The sequence below is a fragment of the Homo sapiens genome, chromosome 7 (assembly GCF_000001405.40).
Source record: "Homo sapiens chromosome 7, GRCh38.p14 Primary Assembly".
Taxonomy (NCBI): domain Eukaryota; kingdom Metazoa; phylum Chordata; class Mammalia; order Primates; family Hominidae; genus Homo; species Homo sapiens.
Window position 1 is genome coordinate 130,078,123 of NC_000007.14, and position 21,859 is coordinate 130,099,981.

A 21,859-nucleotide genomic window follows, 5' to 3' on the forward strand; every position below is an offset into this window, starting at 1 on the left:
TTTAGGAGGCTGAGGCGGGCGGATCACTTGAGGGCAGGAGTTTGAGACCAGCTTGGCCAATATGGTGAAACCCCGTCTCTACTGAAAACACACACAAAAAAATTAGCCGGATGTGGTAGTGCATGCCTATAGTCCCAGCTGCTCAGGAGGCTGAGGCAGGAGAATCGCTTGAACCCTGGAGGCGGAGGTTGCAGTCAGCAAAGATTGCGCTATTGCACTTCAGCCTGGGTGACAGAGCAAGACTCCGTCTCCAAAAATAAAAAATAAATAAAAATAAAATAAAATAGAGATGGAGTCTTGCTATGTTGCCCAGGCTGATCTCAAACTCCTGGGCTCAAGTGATCATTCTGTCTTGGCCTCCCGGGATTACAGGTATAAGCCTCCGCGCCCTGCCTTCCTTTTCACTCTTTTTTTGAGACAGAGTCTCGCTCTGTCACCCAGGCTGGAGTGCAATGCCGCAGTCTTGGCTCACTGCAACCTCTGCCTCCCGGGTTCACGCCATTCTCCTGCCTCAGCCTCCCGACTAGCTGAGACGACAGGCGCGTGCCACTACACCCGGCTAATTTTTTGTATTTTTAGTAGACACGGGGTTTCACCGTGTTAGCCAGGATGGTCTCGATCTCCTGACCTCGTGATCCACCCTCCTCGGCCTCCCGAAGTGTTGGGATTACAGGCGTGAGCCACCGCGCCTGGCCCCTCCTTTCACTTTTGATACTTATTTCTTTATTTTGTTCAATTGATTTCGCTAGTACTTTCCAAAAATACTAAACAATAAGATAGTAGTGGAGCTTTGTCCTATTCCTTACTTCAATCAGATATTTTTAATGCTTTCCTATTAAGATTAGATCTGGCTTTAGATTGAAGCGTACATATTTTATCATGTTAAAGTATTCAGCTGTTACTGTTTTTTTAAAGTTTTTGTTTTGTTTTGTTTTTGTTTTTTGTTTTTTTTTGAGGCAGAGTCTCACTCTGTTGCCTAGGCTGGAGTACAGTGGCTCGATCTTGGCCCTCTGCAACATCCGCCTCCTGGGTTCAAGTGATTCTCCTGGCTCAGCCTCCCGGGTAGCTGGGATTACAGGTGCCCGCCACAACGTCTGGCTAACTTTTGTGTTTTTGGTAGAGACAGGGTTTCACCATGTTGGCCAGGCTGGTCTTGAACTCTTGACCTCAAGTGATTCGCCCACCTCGGCCTCCCAAAGTGCTGGGATTACAGGTATGAGTCACCATGCCAGGCCTAAAGTATTTTTTTTAATAAATACTTTATTTAAAAAATGTATTTTATTAGAAGTAATGTTGCTAATGCCTTTTCAGCATCTATGGGAATTATAATGTAATTTTTGTCCTTTGATCTATTATTGTGGTAGATTGTATTAATGGATTTATTGTTACTGAACCATTCTTGTGTTCCTGAATTAACTTACTTTGTCGTGGTGTATTAGTATTTTAAACGTACTGCTGGGTTCTGTTTGCTAAACTTTACTTAGAAATTTTGCATCACTCCTCATAGGCGTTTTCATTTTCCTTTCTGTTTTTTTTATTGTGTTATTTTTGTTTCCACTTTTATAAAACTATTTCAAAGCTTGCCTGCCTGCCTGCCTTCCTGCCTTCCTTCCTTCCTTCCTTTTTCCTTCCCTCCCTCCCCCTCCCCTACCTCCTCCCTTCCCACACCTCCTCCCTCCCTTGCTTCCTTACTCCCTTGCTCCCTGCCTCCCTTTCTCGCTTCCTCCTTCCCTCCCTTCCTCCCTTTCTTCCTCCCTCCCTCCCTTCCTCCCTTTCTTCCTCCCTCCCTCCCTTCCTCCCTTTCTCGCTTCCTCCTTCCCTCCCTTCCTCCCTTTCTTCCTCCCTCCCTCCCTCTGTCGCCCAGGTTGGAGTGCAGTGGTGCAATCATAGTTCACTGCAGCCTTGAATTCCTGGGCACATGCCAACCTCTTGCTTTAGCCTCCTAAGTAGCTAGGACTACAGGCGTGCACCACCACACCCAGCTTATTTTTAATTTTTTTGTAGAGATAAGGCCTTGCTATGTTGCCTAGGCTGGTTGCAAACTCCTGGCCTCCAGTCATCCTCTCACCTCAGCCTCCCAAAGTACTAGGATTACAGGCATGAGCCACTGTGCCTGGCCCTTCCTTTCTTTTTCTATGCATTTTTTCCCCTCTGTGGTTAAATGGCATTGAAGTTAAAGGTTTTGTGGAATTCCCCATGAAGTCATTTGGACCTCCTCTTTTTTAGGGGGTAGAAGAAGCTCTTAGACAATTATATTGTCCAATTATATCATACTTCTTAGTTTTTTTGAGACAGGGTCTCACACTGTTGCCCAGGCTGGAATGCAGTGGCACAATCATGGGTCACTGCAGCCTCAACCTCCTGGGCTCAAGGGATCCTCCTTCCTTAGCCACCTGAGTAGCTGGGACTACAGGTGTACACCACTACACCTGGCTAATTAAAAAAAATTTTTTTTTTGTAGCAGTGGGGTCTCAATGTTGCCCAGGCTGGTCTTGAATTCCCAAGCTCAAGCAATCCTCCCACCTCGGCCTCCCAAAGTGCTGGGATTATAGGTGTGAGCTACCGTGTGCAGACCAATTATATCATTCTTTGATAGTTGGCTGCTTACAATTTATATCTTTTGGGGGTAGCTTTGATAATTTATGTTATCCTAGAAAATCACCCAGTTCATCCAGATTTTCAAAATTATTTGTGCGAATTGACCAAGGTATTCTTTTATGATTACACAATTATTTCCTGGATTTGCAACTACTCATTATCATTTCTTATTTTGTATTATGTGAGGCTTTGCCCTTTCTTGTTTATAACCGGCTCTTGGATTTTTAAAACTTAGTTCCAATATTTTCTTTTTTTATTAATTTGTTTCTTTCAGTTTTCTTTTTTTTTTTTTTTTTGAGACGGAGTCTCGCTCTGTCACCCAGGCTGGAGTGCAGTGGCGTGATCTTGGCTCACTGCAAACTCTGCCCTCTGGGTTCACGCCATTCTCCTGCCTCAGCCTCCTGAGTAGCTGGGAATATAGGCGCCCGCCACTACACCCGGCTAATTTTTTGTATTTTTAGTAGAGACGGGGTTTCACCGTGTTTAGCCAGGATGGTCTCGATCTCCTGACCTGGTGATCCACCCGCCTCGGCCTCCCAAAGTGCTGGGATTACAGGCGTGAGCCACCGCGCCTGGCCTCTTTTATATATTTTTTTTTGTTTGTTTTTTATTTTTGAGATGGAGTCTCTCCCTTGTCACTCAGGCTGCAGTGCAGTGGCATGATCTTGGCTCACTGCAACCTCTGCCTCCCCGGTTCAAGCTATTCTCCTGTCTCAGCCTCCCCAGTAGCTGGGATTACAGGCGCACGCTGCCACGCCCCACTAATTTTTTGTATTTTAGTAGAGACAGGGTTTCACCGTGTTGCCCAGGCTGGTTTTGAACTCCTGAGCTCAGGCAGTCCACCTGCCTCGGCCTCCCAAAGTGCTGGGATTACAGGCATGAGCCACTGCACCCGGCATTTTGATAATGTTAAGTCTTCTAGGTCTGTGAACATGTTGTATTTCCATTTATTTAGATCTTGAATTTATGTCAACAATGTTTTGGGTTTTCACAGGTCATTTATGTTTTGCCTGCCTTTCTCAATTCTGTCATCTATTAATATGTCCCTTACTATGTTTTCAGTAGTGTCTGGTACTCCTTTGTGCTACTTTCAATGAAGATTTCATTTCTGCGTTGGTTTTATTTTTCCCTTCCATTTCTTTTCTGTTCTCTGTTTATATTTCTTTCTATTGTCTGCCTTTCTAGAGCTAGAGTCTCTTTTCTTTTCTGGACTTGAGACATTAGTTTTTGTAAAACCTGTTGTCTCCCACCCCCTACCACAGCCACTATATAAAAGGAATACAAACTCATTAATTAAAATTTGGATAATGGGCTGGGTGTAGTGGCTCACACCTATAATCCCAGCACTTTGGAAGGCCGAGGCGGGCAAAAAGCTTAAGTCCAGGAGTTTGAGACCAGCATGGGTAACATAGTGAGACCTTGTCTTTACAAAAAATAAACAATATTAGCCAGCTGTGGGGGCACATGCCTGTAATCCCAGCTAATCCCAGCTACTTGGGACGCTGAGGCAGGAGGATTGTCTGAGCCCAAAAGGTTGGGGCTGTAGTGAGCCGAGATCATGCCACTGCACTCTAGCCTGGGCAGCAGAGTGAGATGCTGCCTCAAAAAAACCCCCAAAATTGGAAAACGTAGAAAAATTGAGACAAGGAGAAAATCACTTAAAGACAGCTATATCAACATTTTGATATTTTACTTTCCTTTTAGTTCTTTATCAAGTGTTCATTTAATACTGTGTAAATAATTACTTATCACCTGTAGGAATTTGGGATTCTCTTAAAACTGTTCTATATTTAAATGTTTTACTCACAAGGCTTGCTTATGTTTTCTGTTATTTTATTAGGTGGAATCTCTTTCTCCTCAGTTTACCATATGAATAACATTTTAGGTTTTTTCCTAGCTGGTGGCCTATTTTACTTCTCTCTGTTACAGCCAGGCTTTCAGAAAGAATAGACTCTGTTGTTTATATTTTAATTTCTTTTTTCTCTTCAGTCTTTTGCAGTCTCACTTCTGCCTCCATCGTTCTACTCAAGTGCTCTTACTAAGGTAATAACGTCCTAATTGCTAACTCCAGTAGATAGCTCTTAGTTTTCATCCTACCCAGCTTCTCTAGAATTTGGTTTTAACTGTCTCCTATGCTAGACCCTAGAAATACATAATTAACTAAAGTTCCTGTTCCTAAAGAGCTCTTATTCTTGTATCTCTTGAACTTCCTATTAGTTTTCCTTTATCTGCCACTTAATATTGGTATCCAAGAGTATTTCTTTTGTTTGTTTCCCCTTCTTACTCTTAGTAAGATATCATTAATGTCCTGACCAAACCTACATCTATGTCTAACCCACATCTCTCTCTCTGGCCTGTTTGCCAGCAGCCTCTAGATGTTTCTACCAACTGACTTATGAGTACCTCAAATACAACATTTTCAAAAAACAATTTCATCATTTTTCCTGGCAAACCTGTTACTTCATCCTGTGCTCCTTATCCTGACTAATTTAATGGCTATATCATCAATTTAGTGAGTCAAGCCAGAAATGTGGGAATCACATTAGATTCCTTCCTTTTACTCATTCCTTATAGAATTGGTCACAATTCGATAAGGAATTGTGTTGTTGATTCTTCCTCCTTACCCTCACTCTATTTGTCCCTTTCTACCTCTTTACCCTCCGCATTTATGTCTTTCATTTTATATTTCAGCTATACAGAAGTATTTTCAGTTAGTTGCCTTAAATTCTTGGAACAAGGTAGGTTGAGAGGAGAGATTTTTTAAAAACTTGGAATTTCCTGTGCTACACTGTTTTTTGATTCTGTACATACCATTTCTTCTTTCTAAAGTGCCATTCTCCTAGTCATCTTCTTAGACCCACCCATGTATACTTTAATCTACATAGCATTTTTTCCTATTCTCTCTTTTAATCCCAGCACTTTGGGAGGCTGAGGCAGGAGAATTGCTTGAACCCGGGAGGTGGAGGTTGTAGTGAGCTGAGATTGCGTCACTGCACTCCAGCCTGGGCGACAGTGAGACTCCATCTCAAAAACAAACAAACCCACAAATGACTTATGTGTGTCAAGTCAAAGGGACATTTTAAAATCTCCATCTGCCTTGATCTCCCTTCATTTTTAAACATCCTTTTCCCTTTTGGCTTCCTGGGTGTCAGGTCTCGTTTTCTTATGTGTCTGGCCTCATCCTTAGTCGTCTTTGTCAACTCTTTCCCTTCTACCAGGACTTTATGTATGAGAGTTCTCAATTCTTGGTTCTGTGTCCCCACCCTTCTCTTTTCAACTTACTTGAGGTGTTCTCTTCCAAATCTGTGATTTTCAATATCTATCCATATGCCAATAAGTTATGCCACTTTGTAATTTCAGCCCAAATCTCTTTTGAGGGCCATTTCCTTGCTTTCTCCATATCTACAATTACATGCTTCATATTTCTGAAGCTCAGCAAGCCTAAAACTGAATTTGTGATCTTTATTATAAAATTGAAGGGTAACTATTGGGTAATTTTAAGCACAGGAGTGATGTGGTATGATTTATTATTTTCTAAAGCTCCCTCTAGCTGCTGGTTGGAGAATGGCTAATGGGACACGGTAACACAGATGCATGGAGGTCATTTAGAAGACTATAGAAGTACTTTCCTAAAAAGATTGTGGTGGCTTGGACTAGGTGGTATATCAGTGGTTGGAAGTGGTTGAATATGAGATGTATTTTGAAAGTAGCATTAATAGGATTTGCTATGAGGTGTGAAGGAGAGAGAAGAATCAAGATGATTGCTAACAAGGCTAGATGCGGTGGTTGACGCCTGTAATCCCAGCACTTTGGGAGGGAGGCCAAGGTGGGTGAATCACTTGAGGTCAGGAGTTTGAGGCCAGCCTGGCCAACATGGCGAAACCCCGTCTCTACTAAAAATAAAAAATCAGCTGGGCGTGGTGGCGCGTGCCATTAGTCCCAGCTACTCGGGAGGCTGAGGCACAAGAATTGCTTGAACCCAGGAGGCGGAGGTTGCAGTGAGTCATGATTGCACCACAGCACTCCAGTCTAGGTGACAGAGCGAGACTCTGAAAAAAAAAAAAAAAGACTCCTAAGTTTTTGTCTTGAGCAATTGGATAGATGACAGTCTCATCAAATGTGATGGAACAGATCTGAAGCAGCAGGATTGTAGGGGGCAAATCAAGAGTGTTGTTTTGGCAGTGTTAAGCTTGAGATGCCTATTTGACCTCCAAGTAAGGATATAGAGTAAGTAATCTTTACATTAAAAAAAATCAAACTCAAGGGAGATGGTGAGGCTCACAATGTTTTTTGGAATTATTAGCAAGCCATTGGACTGGATGAGTTCACCAAAGAATATCTTTAGCCAGGTGCGGTGGCTCATGCCTGTAATCCCAGCACTTTGGGAGGCCGAGACGAGGTTGGGAGTTTGAGACCAGCCTGGCCAACATGGTGAAACCCCGTCTCTACTAAAAATACAAAAATTAGCCGGGTGTGGTGGCGGGTGCCTGTAATTCCAGCTACTAGGGAGGCTGAGGCAGGAGAATTGCTTGAACCCAGGAGGTGGAGGTTGCAGTGAGCCGAGATCATGCCACTGCACTCCAGCTTGGAGGACAGAGCAAGACTCCATCTCAGAAAAAAAAAAAAAAAAGAATATTTTTAAAAATTGGGCAGAAGACTATATAACTCTTGAAAGTGAGAAGGAAAGGAGAAGCAAGCAAAGGTCAGTGAGGTAGGAGGAAGACCAAGACTGCTTGGTTTCATAAGAGTCAAGAGAAAAACATGTTTCAAGAAGGAGGGAGAGGTTACCTTGTCGAGAGCAAGGTAGGATAAGGTTTTAAAATGGTAGACTCAGCCGGGTGCAGTGGCTCCTGCCTGTAATCCCAGCACTTTGGGAGGCTGCGGTGGGTGGATCACCTGAGGTCAGGAGTTCGAGACCAGCCTGGTCAACATGGCAAAACCCCATCTCTACTAAAAATACAAAAAACGCCGGGCGTGGTGGCTTGGGCCTGTAGTCCCAGCTACTTGGGAGGCTGAGACATGAGAATCGCTTGAACCCAGGAGGTGGAGGTTGCAGTGAGCCGACATTGCACCACTGCACTCCAGCCTGGGTGACAGAGTGAGACTCTTTCTCAAAAAAAAAAAAAAAAAAAAAAATTAACAACAACAATAAAATAAAATGGTGGACTTTGTACTACCATTAGTACAGTACTATAAGTAATCTTACAGGGTATAGTAGGCCTTTGTGGGCTGAGTAGGGACTGACCTATTAACTATTTATAACATTGGAAAATATATTAAGAATTTCAAATGACAAATTGATGTAATTACTTAGAATTTTGAGGTGCAGCCTAATTTTTATTAGCCTGTATATTTTTTAAGGCTTTATTTTCCCCAAATTATTTTTAAGGCCATTCCCTTACTTTTTAAAGTAAGCAGTCCTTGTCTTCCTCCTACTTTATTGACCTTCTTTGCTTCTTTCCTTTTCACTTTCAATGGTTCTATAGTCTTCTGCCCAATTTTTAAGTGGTTTTGAACACTCTGTATCATTAGACTTTTACCAGTATCAGTATTGGGCAAGCTTGTAGAACACATAAAGGTTACGCTTACTTAAAATATGTAAGTATGATTTCCTGTGATTGAATGCATACAGCTTTCCTCCTAAAAGTCTTTTTCATTAATTTTTAAAATGGAAAAACATTACATAAACTTGGTAAAATCAAATCGTATGCAAGAGGAGAAAGTGTCCCTTTCACCTGAGACCCCTCGTTTTGCAGTCTGTCTCCCTAGCAGTGCCATCTCCCTAGAGTTTCTGGTCTGTCTTTCCAGAAATAGAATTTGCATATATGTGCATATAGGTGTATGTTATCTTTATATTAAAACAGAGTGCAACAACAAAGTATTCTTTCTGCATCTGTCTTTTTTTTAACTTAAAAATATATTTTGGGGATTGTTCTGTGTTAGCACATTTAGACTTATCTCATGCTTCTTCATGGCTGAAAGTATTGTGTTGTGTGAATGTGCTGTAATTTACCAGCCACCCAATTGATGGATATTTAGCTTGTTTCTGGTTTCTGTTATTTAAGAACAATCACTGCAATGTATAATGATAAATATTGCTAATTTGCCTTTTAATATCTGTGTTTTTAAAGTTTTCCTCAAGTTGTAGAACTTAAAAACTCACACTTATCCCCTTATTTTACTCTGCTTTCCCATTCAGCTAGTCTTTTACATCCTTATGTTTTATCCCTATAATAATATTAGCCAGGGATTTATATAAACATTTACTTATAACCCAGTAAGGGAACAGATACTATTGCTGTCCCCTTTTTTATAGTTAAGGAAGCTGGGGTACCCAGGACAAAACCTTGTCCAAGGACATACAGCTAGCAAGGGACAGAGCTAGGATTTAGACCCAGGCAATGTGGTTCTAAAGTCCCTGCACCATGCTGCACTCCCCTCTGCTTCCTGTCCTTCCCAGTTCTTTTTGTTACTAGTACTGTAATTGAGGTCCTCACTGGTGTAAACTGGACTACACTAAAAATGTTTTTTTTGCTATTCCTAGTCTTACTTTCCTGACCCATTCTCTATATTTAAACAAGATTAATTTTCCTAATGCACAGCTATGGTTATGTTGCTTGTCAGATCAGAATCCTTCAGTAGCTTCCTGCTGCATTTAGAATCCAGCCCAATCTCATGCTCTTCCCTTTTATATTTGCTATATTCCATGAATTTGTTCCAAGCTTTATCTAGGATGTGAGCATTAAAGCGTCATAAGGCATAATAAGACTAGATAGTGAAGTGAAATTAGAAGTATTATGACTCACAAAAAAATGAGATAAGTGATCTTTGGAGTTGAATGGTGTTTTTTCTTTTGAGTTTTTTCCCTTTTTACCCATAGTAGCTCCTGCCATATGGTTTCATCAACAAACTGTCAACTCAATTAATTTCAATCAGATGTGTAATTGATCAAATGCTAACCACAAATATTTTGGTGTCACATAAAACAAATTCCTTAAAACACACACATACACACAAACCTAAAACAGAAATATGGAATTTCTTTTTTTTTTTTTTTGAAATGGAGTCTCGCTCTTGTCACCCAGGCTGGAGTGCAATGGTACAGTATCGGCTCACTGCAACCTCCACCTCCCGGGTTCAAGCAATTCTCCTGCCTCAGCCTCCCGAGTAGCTGGGATTACAGGTGCTCGCCACCACGCCTGGCTAATTTTTGTATCTTTAGTAGTGATAGGGTATCACCATGTTGGCCAGGCTGGTCTCGAACTCCTGACCTCAAGTGATCCACCTGCCTCGGCCTCACAAAGTGCTGGAATTACAGGTGTGAGCCACTGTGCCCGGCCATATTATACTTTTTAAAGCAACTTTTAAAATATCAGATATTAGATATTAAAAATTTGCTAATTAGTGACTATTATTTGCTTTTTGCTGGATTTAGTCCAATATAAGCTTTTATATCCTTCAGTCAGCTCTAGGTATTTTCTTGGAAGGCATTGCATTTGCCAAGAGAAAATGACCTGAGAGAAGGGAAAGTGAGTTCATAAATAAAAGTTGTGTCTTCACCTTTTTTTTTTTTGAGACTTAGTCTGGCTCTGTCCCCAGGCTGGGGTGCAGTGGTGCAGTCTTGGCTCACTGCAACCTCTGCCTCCTGGGTTCAAGCAATTCTCCTGCCTCAGCCTCCTGAGTAGCTGGGATTACAGGCTCGCACCACCACGCCTGGCTAATTTTTGTATTTTTAGTAGAGACGGGGGTTTTACCATGTTGGCCAGGCTGGTCTCGAACTCCTGACCTCGAGTGACCCACCTTCCTCAGCTTCCCAAAGTGCTGGGATTACAGGCCTGAGCCACCAGTCCCGGCCGTGTCTTCACTTTCAAAATTGATCACTTTTCTAGTTTGGTTTTTTGTTTTTCTTTTTCTTTCTTTCTTTCTTTCTTTTTTTTTTTTTGAGACAATCTCACTCTGTGACCCAAACTGGACTGCAGTGGCACAATCTCGGCTCACTGCAACCTCTGCCTCCCAGGTTCAGGTGATTCTCCTGCCTCAGCCTCCCGAGTAGCTGGGATTACAGGGACCCGCCACCACACCCAGCTATTTTAGTAAAGACAGGATTTCACCATGTTGGCCAGGCTGGTCTTGAACTCCTGACCTCAAGTGATCCACCTTCCTTAGCCTCCCAAAATGCTGGCATTACAGGCCTGAGCCATCGCCCCTGGCCTCAATTTATTTTTCTAAGTGAAGTTTTACTGGAGATAAAAAGGAAGGAGATGATACTCAATTAAGAAAAACAATCTCTGGCTATAGTTAATATTTCAAGATAGGCACATTCACATCGATACATATAAAGTACAAATGCAGGCAAGATGTTTGGTAAATCTTACAGAAAAAAACCCATGTACAGTAAAAAAAAAACATATATTTTAAAATGAACTTTTATCTTTTAAATTTTTCCCCTTGTCCGAAACTTCTTAGAATCACAAAAAAAATTGAAAAAGACTGCTGGGCATGGTGGCTCATGTCTGTAATCTCAGGAGTTTGAGACTAGCCTGGGTAACATGGTGAAACCCCGGCCCCATCTCTACAATATAAACAAAAATGACCCAGGTGTGATGGCACATGCCTGTTGTCTCCCTATTGGGAGACAGAAGCAGGAGGATTTCTTGAGTCCAGGAGTTCAAGACCAGCTTGGGCAACATAGCTAGACCCTGTGTCTACTTCTCCCATGCCCCGCCAAAAAAAAGAGTATTTATAAGTGCTAAGCATAGAGTAGATACTCAGTATATAAAGGTGTTTGGCATAGAGTAGATAATAAATGTCGATTATCCTAAATTTAAAAGAAAGTCATTTACTTAACAAGTAGGTCACTGTTAGCTCAATGTATGCCATTGTGAAATTTTAAAAAGGTTCCTCTTCCAGGTAGACATAGTCCCATGGGTACATTGGAGAATAGAGTGAAGGCTGGATTTAGCCTCCCTTAGACACTTTGCCTGGAGCTCTTGTGCAGTAAGCAATCTGTACAACTGTGCAGCGATTCCAAATACAGTATTAATTTGCTTCTCTTTTGAAATTCTTTATAGATCCTGAATTGTATATAGGAGTAGGACTGTACCACATGTTGTAGCCACCTAAGTCAGAATTCTTGGATCATTTTCTCTGATTCAATAGTTTTCATTTTTTTTTTTTTGAGATGGAGTTTCGCTCTTGTTGCCCAGGCTGGAGTGCAATGGCGCGATCTTGGCTCACCGCAACCTCTGCCTCCTAAGTTCAAGCAATTCTCCTGCCTCAGCCTCCCGAGTAGCTGGGATTACAGGCATGCACCACCACGCCTGGCTAATTTTGTATTTTTTTTAGTAGAGACGGAGTTTCTCCATGTTGAGGCTGGTCTCGAACTCCTGACCTCAGGTGATCTGCCCGCCTTGGCCTAATAGTTCTAATTGTTAAATATTCATAATTGTTTTAGAGATATCATTTTTGAATGTAAGCTATTCCATATTGGCACCATCTTTTTTTTCTTCTTTTTGGTTTTTATTTAATTTTTATACCTTTTACTTTGAGAATTGTAGATTGATTTACAGTTTTAAGAAATAATATTGGCTGGGTGCAGTGGCTCACACCTGTGATCCCACCACTTGGGAGACCGAGGTGGGCAAATCATTGGAGCCCAGGAGTTTGAGACCAGCCTGGGTAACATGGTGAGACCCTATCTCTACAAAAAATACAAAAATTAGGCAGGTGTGGTGGCACATACCTGTAGTCCCAGCTACTTGAGAGGCTGAGGTAGGAGGATCGCCTGAGCCCACGAGGTGGAGGTTGCATTGAGCCAAGATCATGCCACTGCACTCTTGCCTGGGTGACAGAGCAAGACTCTGTCTTAAAGAAAAAAAAAAAAAGAGAGAAGGGAAGGAAATAATACTGAGAGATCCATATACCCTTCCCCAGGCAATTTCTTGGAATGATAACATCCTGTTACTATTGTACAATAACACAACTAGGAAATTGACATTGATACAATCCAGTGACCTTACTCAGATTTCATCAGTTTTACACATACTCGTGTGTGTGTGTGTGTGTGTGTGTGTGTATCATATTCTGTACAATTTTATTTCATGTTAGATTCGTGTGGCCACCACAGTCAAGATACAGAACAGTTCCATCACAAGGTTCCCTGGTGGTGCCCTGATACAGCCACAGCCACCTTCCCTGGCAAACCCCTAGTGACCACTAATCTGTTCTCTAAAATTTTGTCATTTCAAGAATGCTATGTGAGTAAAATCATACAGTATGTAACCTTTTGACACTATTTTTTTTTTCCTATTGGTTGCATGTATCAATAGTTCATGGTTTTACCACAGGTTTAACCATTCATTTCGCTGAAGGACATTGGGATTGCTTCCATGTTTTGGCTATTGTGAATAAAGCTGTTAGGAACGTTTGTGTACAGGTTTTTGTGTGGACATAAGTTTTCATTTCTCTGGGGTAAATGGCCAAGAATGTAATTGTTGAGTTGTATGGTAAGTATATGTTTAGTTTTGTAGGAAACTGCCATACTGTCTCTCAGAGTATGTGTGTATCATTTTACATTCCTCCCAGCAAAGTATAACTCATCCAGTTCCTCTGCATCCTTGCCACCATGATCAGTTTTGATAAAACACTTTGGCAACTACTGTTAACTAGTCTCTCTCATTTTTAGAAAATCAGAACTGACTTCTTACATGTGTCTTCAGGTTCTCTAGAATGAGACCTTTGGTTACTTCTATCAATTTGACTTGGCAATTGGCTCTTAAATGTTTGGAGGAATTCACCAGTGAAGCCAGCTAGTATTCTTAAATCTTTTACACAATACCTCAATTTATATTTTTTCATCAATATCTATATTAGTCATTTTCTATATCCTTCATCTGAATAAGACAGATACTTTAATGTTCTTCTGGTTTTCCTTCTCTCAGCCTCCCTTCCTACCCTTATAAATATTCCTGTTGATAGCATCTGAGATTATAGTTCTGAATGTTAGTAATGTTTTTTTCCCCAGTCAGTGCATATTTAGACTTAAAGGTTTTACTGGTTTCTCTGCTTACCCTTTTCTTGGGCCTTGTTTGTTATTCTTGCATTAATTTTTTAAAAAAACAATCCAATTATATATCTTTGAGTAATTATTTCATTAGAAGTCTGAAGGAAGCAAACTTTTTGGGCCCTTGCATATAAAAAAATTTCTTTATTTCACTCTCCTTCTTAAGCAAGAGTTGGAGTAGGTATAGAATTCTAAATGTAAAACTATATCCAAGTGTCCCAGGACAATTTGTTGAAAAGACTATTTATTCCCCACTGAATAGTCTTGTCACCCTTGTCAAAAAAATCAGTTGACACTGTGGATGTTAGGGTTTACTTTTGGACTCTCAATTTCATTAATTTAATCTGTATGTCCATCCATATGCCAGTACCACACTTTTTGAATACTGTATCTTTCCAGAAAGTTTTGAAATGAGGAAGTATGAGTCTTCTTTCACTTCTTTTTCAAGATTGTTTTGATATTCTGGGTTTCTTGCTTTTTTCCATCTGAAGTATAGGATTAGCTTGTTCATTTTGGCAAAACAAACAAAAAGCTAGTTGAAATTTTAATATTGTTCGATTCTCTTTTGTGTCTTAACTTTTTAATATACTTTTCTATAATACTTCTTCATGCTTGGGCCTTAGTTTTATGCTCAATCATCTTTATCGTGAGTCCTAGTTAGCCTTGCTGTGAGTGTTAAATCTGTTTATTGCAGCAGGTCTCCACAGATTGTGGATAGGGATGGAGTAAGCAATGAGATGAAGTGTACTACTTGCCAGGCTCCTTCAGTGTGACTGTCCCCTCTTCTGCCTGGGTGTTAGTATCCCCACGGGGTTCTACCTTCTCCCTCTGATCCCAGTGTTCACACTGATTGTTCTAGCTGGAGAGTGACACCTTTGTTGTTTTTGCCACTGTTCCCATCTGGGAGCAAATACCTCTATTCTATAATGCTTGACTCAAAGAGGTAGATGGCTGGGAGGGGTTAACCTGCTATGTAACTTCTGTGCTACACTCCAATCACTTAGGCTGTAAATGTTTAAAATGGTTTCACTTCTTCCTGCTGTCTTTTACCTTGGGGCTTAGTTGACCCCGAGAGTTGGTCCCTCCACTTGCCCTGGTCCTCTGCTCTTGGTGTGTAGGACTGTGGTGTCTTCTTTAGTCCGATTCTATCTGCTTTTCATCTTCCAGTGATTCCTCATAGTATTAGTCCACTAAGGGCATTTCTTGTTTTCTTTTAATTATGTCTTTTTTTTTTTAATGACTTTTTTTTGTTATTTGGGAGATTTTAGGGGAAGGTGAGCTTGCTCACACTGTGCTCAGCCTACCATCTTAATTCAGCCAATGACTATGTTATATTTATAGTGAAGTAAACATAGTAAGAAAGAGAAAAAACTAAAAACTAGCAAAAAATAAAATATTGATGAAGTTATTGAAGAAATTATTATTATTATTATTTTTGTGGAGACAGAGTCTTACTCTGTCGCCCAGGCTGGAGTGCAGTGGCGTGATCTTGGCTTACTGCAACCTCTGCCTCCTGGGCTCAAGCAGTTCTCCTGCCCTCAAGCAGTTCTCCTGCCTCAGCCTCCCGAGTAGCCAGGACTACAGGTGCATGACACCATGCCCAGCTAATTTTTTTTGTATTTTAGTAGAGATGGGGTTTCACCATGTTGGCCAGGCTGGTCTCAAACTCCTGGCCTCAGGTGATCTGCCCATCTCAGCCTCCCAAAGTGCTGGGAGTACAGGCATGAGCCACCACACCCGGCCTATATTTTTGTTTTGAAGAGTCGAAGCTATCACGTAGGAAGGTTGGCACTTTGAATATATAAAAATTAAAACTCAATGAATAAAAGTTCAGACCAGTAATATATTTATATGAAACTGGAGAGGCATACATTTATTTAAAAATTTAAGAAGTACATTTGTGTTGGCGTCACACTGTTATGTTGCTGGTTTCTCTTTTTTCTGCTCTTTGGGTGAAAGAATAAAATGGGTTTTGAAGTCAGTGCCTGCCTTGATTGAATAACCTCCGCAGAGTCAACAGGAGTCTGTGCATACAGACTTATGCTGGTTGCTGAGAGAGAGACATGCCAAAGATGTTTGATAGAAGCCCTGAGAAGACATAAAAAGGGTTTTTTATTACAGTTTTGGTGTGTTAATTATTTTTGTTTGTTTTTGTTTTTGAGACAGAGTCTCACTCTGTCGCCCAGAGTGGAATTCAGTGGCACGATCTCGGCTCACTGCAACCTCCGCCTCTTGGGTTCCAGCAATTCTCCTGTCTCAGCCTCCTGAGTAGCTGGGTTTACAGGCACCTGCCACCACGCCTGACTAATTTTTATATATTTTTAGTAGAGATGGGGTTTTGGCATGTTGGCCAGGCTGGTCTCAAACTCCTGGCCTCAAGTGATCTGCCCGCCTTGGCCTCGTAAAGCGCTGGGATTACAGGTGTGAGCCACCACGCCAGGCCCAGTTTGGTAATTTTTAATGTTATTCCCTCAGTGTTACTCCAAAGTAGTTTTTAATATTTTTCCATTATAAAATCATATATCGTAGAATTTATGGATAACGTAAAAGAGGTAATAATCTCAAGCCCAATCATAACCAGTGTTAAGACTTTGGTATGTTTCTTTCCAGTATTTTTTTCTAATCACTTTTTTAAAAAATTAAAATAATACAGTATTGTTTTTCTTCCAGTCTAAAAGTAATGCCTACTCAGAGAGCTTGGAAAATAAAGACCATCATAAAGGGGAAAAAACAAAAATAATTCATTAGAACCATCCAAAGATAACTACAGTCAAATACATTAATTTGATGTAATCTTTCCTGTATTTTTTCTGAATATATAAAAATACTTTTTTCTTTACTAAAATGGTATCATACTTTAATACTATTTTGTACATTGTATTTTTCATTTGCAATATATTGTGAATGTTTTGTCATGTTAATAAATAGTTTTGTATATACTCTTCAGTGGTATGTAGAATATGAGCATATTTAAGTATGTTTATTTAGCATACTTAACCATCCCCTATCATTGGACATTGAAAGTGTTTCTAATTTTTTACCATTATAAATAATACCATAGTTAATATCTTTGTCCATACATCTTTCCATGCATCTATGATTGTTTCTTTAGGAATAGATTCCTAGAAGTGGAATAGCTGGGTCAAAGGGTATGTACATTTTAACGCTTTTGATACATAAAAATGTCAAATTTTAAGCTAATCACTTGTTATATTCTGTCTTGTATTGCTAATTGTTTTGTGTGTCTGTCTTGTCTCCCTAATTAGAATGTAAACTTAAGGGCAAGGGAAGTTTCTTATATATTTAATGTATCCTTTGACAGTGTGGTTTACAATTTTGGACTCTGGAGTCATCTCAACACATACTGTATTGATTTAAAACAATGGTTCTCTAAGATTGTTGAATGTCATAAACCTGTACATTAAAAATATATATATACTTATATTTATCCATATATGTATATTTATAGTAGATATGGGCTTGCAAATTTTCAGTTTTTCCACGAAAAAATATTAAAAAGAAAACCAACTACCATTTTCTTATCAGCATCATTTCATAAAGTAAAGAATATTTAACAACAAAAAGGTTCTAATCTCTGAAAAAGGAGCAGGCCTTTAAATGGAACATTTTAGCTTTTTGAAAAACTTATTGCCTTGTCCATATTTTTCTCATTTTATGTTGGACTGGTGAATCTTCACCTTAGCCTAGCAGTGGTCTGTAGACCAGCATTTGAGAATCATTGATTTAAAAGACTTAGACTATTAAAAGATAAATCATTTTGCAAAATAAATAATTCTCCTTTTCCATGAGTCTGTATTCTCTACAAAATTAAGTGCAAATGTGCAGGTGATGCCATTTCATTATACAGAATCTGTATATCTCTATGTACAAGTTCTGTAGTAAGCAAACTAGACCCTGCTAATGGACATCTGAATATATATTTCCAGTTGCCAAAAATAAAAACTGTTCTTTTTCTAGGGAATTTAAGACAGGATAAAATATGGTGTAGTGGGAAGAGGCAAGTTTTTAGAGTCAGAAGGCCTCACTTGAATCCTGGCTCTGGCATTAAGTCATTTAATTTTCCTTTAGCTTCCTTGCTTGAAAAATTATGATGATACTATCTTCTTCAAAGTATTTTGTTAGCTCCTGTTACAGCAATTCCTTCACAGTAACGTAATTATTTGTTTACACATCTGCCTTCCTTATGAGACCATGGGCTCTGAAGAGCAGGAATCATGTCCTTGTTTTGCAATCTCAGGTCCTAGCATAGGGCTCCAGGCATAGCAGATGCTTAATAAAATGATTGTTGAATCAATACAGGATTGTTGTGAGAATTATATGAGGTAATATATGTGAAAGCTCTTTGTAAACCCTAAACATTATGCAAGTGTTAATTGTTTTTATTGTCAATAAGAGCTATATTTGGGAGCGATCAAAACTTTGGGAAAAGAGATAATTACCCCATAATAGTTCCATTAATTTAATTAGGTTTTTATTCTATTTTATAAGAAAACATATTTTAATTGGGGTTAACATGGAGGTAATTTGCTTCCTGGGAAGGCAGATGAGCCCCTTCCCTCCCTTCCCCCATGGAAGTGCCAAGATATTAAATGTTTGTTTAATTTGGTTGCTGTTTTAAAATTTAATTATAGTAGAGTCAGCTTATTTCGTATTTAAAGAATGGTGCCCATTGCTTTATCTTCTTAACCATATAATTAATATAACCTTGAAGAGAACAGGAGCCTCTGTTATGTCCAATTAGTTTCAGAGCTCCATTTTGAAATTAACTGACTTAAAAATGTCATCGTTTCTAATCTGTTCATAAAGCTCCTGGTGAATTTTTGCCACAAGATGGCATTGGTGATTATTGAGTGCACATGCTATTGAACCAGAATTCCCAAAAACGGTGCACAAAATTGTATTCTTTTGGGGGTAAGAGTTGAAAACCTTCATCACTGCTTATATGTTAATTTAATTTTGACTTCCAAAACAGGGTTAAATGCTACTTTACGTCACTTTCTTTCTGTATTCAAGTATTGTTTTGTTTCCTGTTTTTCTGTCTTTATAACTACAGTAACTATGTATTATTTGCAATGTGTTGTATGTGTCTGACTTATTGCTGATAATTGTGGTAACAGGTAAGAAGAAAATACGATGGGACCCAGTTAGGAGGCGCTTCATTCAGTCCTGTCCCATCATAAGGATCCCTAACAGGTTTTTGAGAGGTGGGTGATAATTAGCAAGAGATCTGTGCTTCGTATGGGTTAAAGGGAACTTTGAATGAATTTTCTAAGCTCAAAACTCTGGTTTTTAAAAATCATCTAAACAGCTAATGAAACAGTTGGAATAAGAAAAATCTAGAACTTAATTTTAAACCTGTTTCTTGTTGGCCACTATTGGGATTGTAATTGTAAGTTTCAGGGAGTCAGAATCACTTAGTGTATTATTAGATGGTAGAGATAAATCATCTCACTGATATAAATGGTATTCCACAGTAGCCATATTAGAAAGAATTTTGAGTGAATAATCTATAAAATATGGATGTGGGAAAGAATTTTCTAAATATGATTCTAAGGAAGAAATAAAAGATTATGTAATGGTATAAAATAAAAAACCTCTTATGTCAAATGTCATATATTAAAAGATAAAAAAGAGAATTATTTGTTAACAAAGGGGTAATATGAATATATAAAGAGTTCTTATAAACCAATAGGTTAAAAACAAATGCCCACTAGAAAAATAGGTAAAAGGATATAGAATTACCAGTTTGTTAAAAAGAAGTGCCAATAATTATGAACAAGTATTTATTTTTACTATTATTATAAACACAACAATTAAAACAATAAGATGTTTTTACCTATTAGATGAGCAAAGACCAAAAATAAGAATACCCAATGTTGGCAAGGGTATGGGAAGATAAAGCTCATATATTGAAGGAAGTATAAATTTTATACAGCTTTTCTGAAACCAGTTTGGTAATATGTATTAAAAACCTTAGAAATATTCATACCCTTTGACCTAGCAGTTTTTACTTTTAGAAATGTTGCATTCCTTCTACTTTTTATTTTTTCTACTAATACATACTCCATACTGAAAAAAGAAAATCTCAAAAGAGGGTTGAAAACTCTGGTTCACACTATTTTTCTAGATACAACAAATTATCACACAAGCATACTTAATGTTGTAATTTAGACTGTATTAAATTATTTACAACCCAGTGTATCTAATTTTAACTGGAGTTTTTTTTTTTTTAACCTAGGAAAAAATCCTGCAACTGCTATAGATGTTTCTATATCTAGTTCCTAACCTATTTTTGTCACCTGAGCTCCAGAGCATGCATAAAATCAACCATAAAATGGGTCAAGATAAGATCCTCAAGATGGTGTACCACCTTTTAGCATGAGTAAATTTTGTTAGTAAGAATTAAGGACCAGGCTGGGTGGCTCATACCTGTAATCCCAGCTCTTTGGGAGGCCAAGGTGGGCAGATTGCTTGAGCCCAGGAGTTCAAGACCAGCCAGGACAACACGGTGAAACCCTGTCTCTGTAAAAAATACAAAAATTAGCTGGGCATGGTGGTACACACTTATAGTCGCAGCTACATGGGAGGCTGAGATGGGAGGATCACTTGAACCCAGGAGGCAGAGGTTGCAGTGAGCCATGATTGTGCCACTGCATTCCAGCCTGGGCGATAGAGTGAGACTTTTCTCCAAAAAAAAGAAAAAAAATTAGATGATTTTAGTATTATCCATTGTACACACATGGCCAAGCAGGCATGTCTAATTCTATAGCATTTTTTCTTTTTTCTATTTATAAGTTAGAATGCCAATTTACCAATTTCCAATGAGAAATCTAACTTGTGCTGAATAAAGCATAAATTAAACTTCATTTTAGTTATATTAATATAATTAATTATACATACTAAATATAAGCATAATTAAGGAATTGTTTAGGATATATAATTCAACATAATAATGATATAAAACACATAAACATAAAAAACAAATAGTGACATAACAGGTTGTATCTGTATGATGGGGATTTTATTTTCTTTTGTATGGTGTTTGTTTTTCAATTTTTTGATTGTGGAGAAAAAAGATTGCACAGGTAAGTTTTATACCATTGGTTATTTGTAAGCCCTCAATAGCCTCAATCAGTGGTTGAGAAAGGTGGCCCCTGGCAGTGCTGGAATTGAGGTGGGAGTTAACTCAGCATCAGCAACATCAGGATCACTAGTGGCCTTCTTTTAGTTCTCACCTTCTTTAACCTCTTTGTAGTGTTTGAGGCTGTTGACTACTTGCCCTTCTTAAATTTTTCTCTTTTTTTGGGTTGCTTTACTGTATAGTTCTAGATGTTTTCTTCCTACCTCTTTGATTGTTCATTCTGTTTCCTTCACTAGCTTCTTTCTTCCTGCTCCCTCAAGGTGGATATTGTTCCAGTGTTCTGTCCTCTCCATTATCTCCTTTAGTTGTCTCATCAACTTTCACAGGCTTAAGTCTCTTCGTTTGTTCGTTCGTTCATTCTTTCATTCTTTCAGTATTTCTTGATTGCTTCCTATGTACTGTGCTAGCCTGATGATCTAAGTAATAGAGAATCAGGTAAACAGACAATTACAGAATAATTTGAGTATAATTATTTGTGGTAAGTGTTCTGATGAGGTAGCATGCTATGGGAGCACACAGGAGAGGTATCTGACTCAACTTGGCTGAAGGAGGGTGACAGAGGAGTGGCCATGAGGATGACATCAGAAGGGATGTGCTTAAAGGCTGAGTAGGTGTCAGCAAAGGAGGGTTGGATCCTCTCAAACCATGGGGATCAGGCAGCTTGAGTAAAGGCATTTAGGCAAAACAGGACATGGTGTTTTTAGAGATGTAGAGAAAGTTCAGCACAGTGGGAAAGAGGTGGACAAAAGAGGCTGGAGAGGGCCCAGATCAAGTGGGCACCACCCAAGTGGAGTTTTCAGGATCAGATTTGGTTTTTTAGCTAGTGAAGAAATTTAATTAAAGGCTAATTATGAGATTATTATAGTTATTAGTGTGCAAAATGATGGAGACTGAAATGAGGGTAGTTGTAATAGGAATGGAGAATAGGGGCCGGGCATGGTGGCCTACACCTGCAATCCAGCAGAGTGAAACCCTGTCTGTCTACATACACACACATGCACGCATGTACAATTAGCCGGGTGTGGTGGGGGCATGCC

The 21,859-nt window shown here is 39.3% G+C and overlaps 1 protein-coding gene across 5 annotated transcripts in view, besides 1 other annotated feature; it reads left to right on the top strand.

The window, feature by feature from the left end:
* KLHDC10 (kelch domain containing 10) overlaps nucleotides 1-21,859 on the top strand; it is a 65,172-nt gene that overhangs the window by 7,589 nt on the left and 35,724 nt on the right. Inside the window, exons 2-4 of one of the 5 annotated variants that reach the window (XM_047420061.1) lie at nucleotides 4,588-4,641; nucleotides 16,773-16,809; nucleotides 18,799-18,885. The exons of 1 other annotated variant lie outside the window; for it this stretch is intronic. Coding sequence is in view for 1 of the 4 variants with exons in the window: in NM_014997.4 (NP_055812.1) it covers nucleotides 18,799-18,885 (87 nt within the window). In the remaining 3 variants the exon portion in view is untranslated. The remainder of the gene's footprint in view (nucleotides 1-4,587; nucleotides 4,642-16,772; nucleotides 16,810-18,798; nucleotides 18,886-21,859) is intronic. 3 more of the 5 variants (XM_047420062.1, XM_047420063.1, NM_014997.4) reach the window with 3 other exon arrangements.
* Nucleotides 14,765-14,824: an enhancer, noted in NCBI's record as "active region_26645". NCBI's record gives its function as "activates an Ori minimal core promoter by ATAC-STARR-seq in GM12878 lymphoblastoid cells {active_cell/tissue: GM12878}" and the evidence as "EXISTENCE:reporter gene assay evidence [ECO:0000049][PMID:35858748]".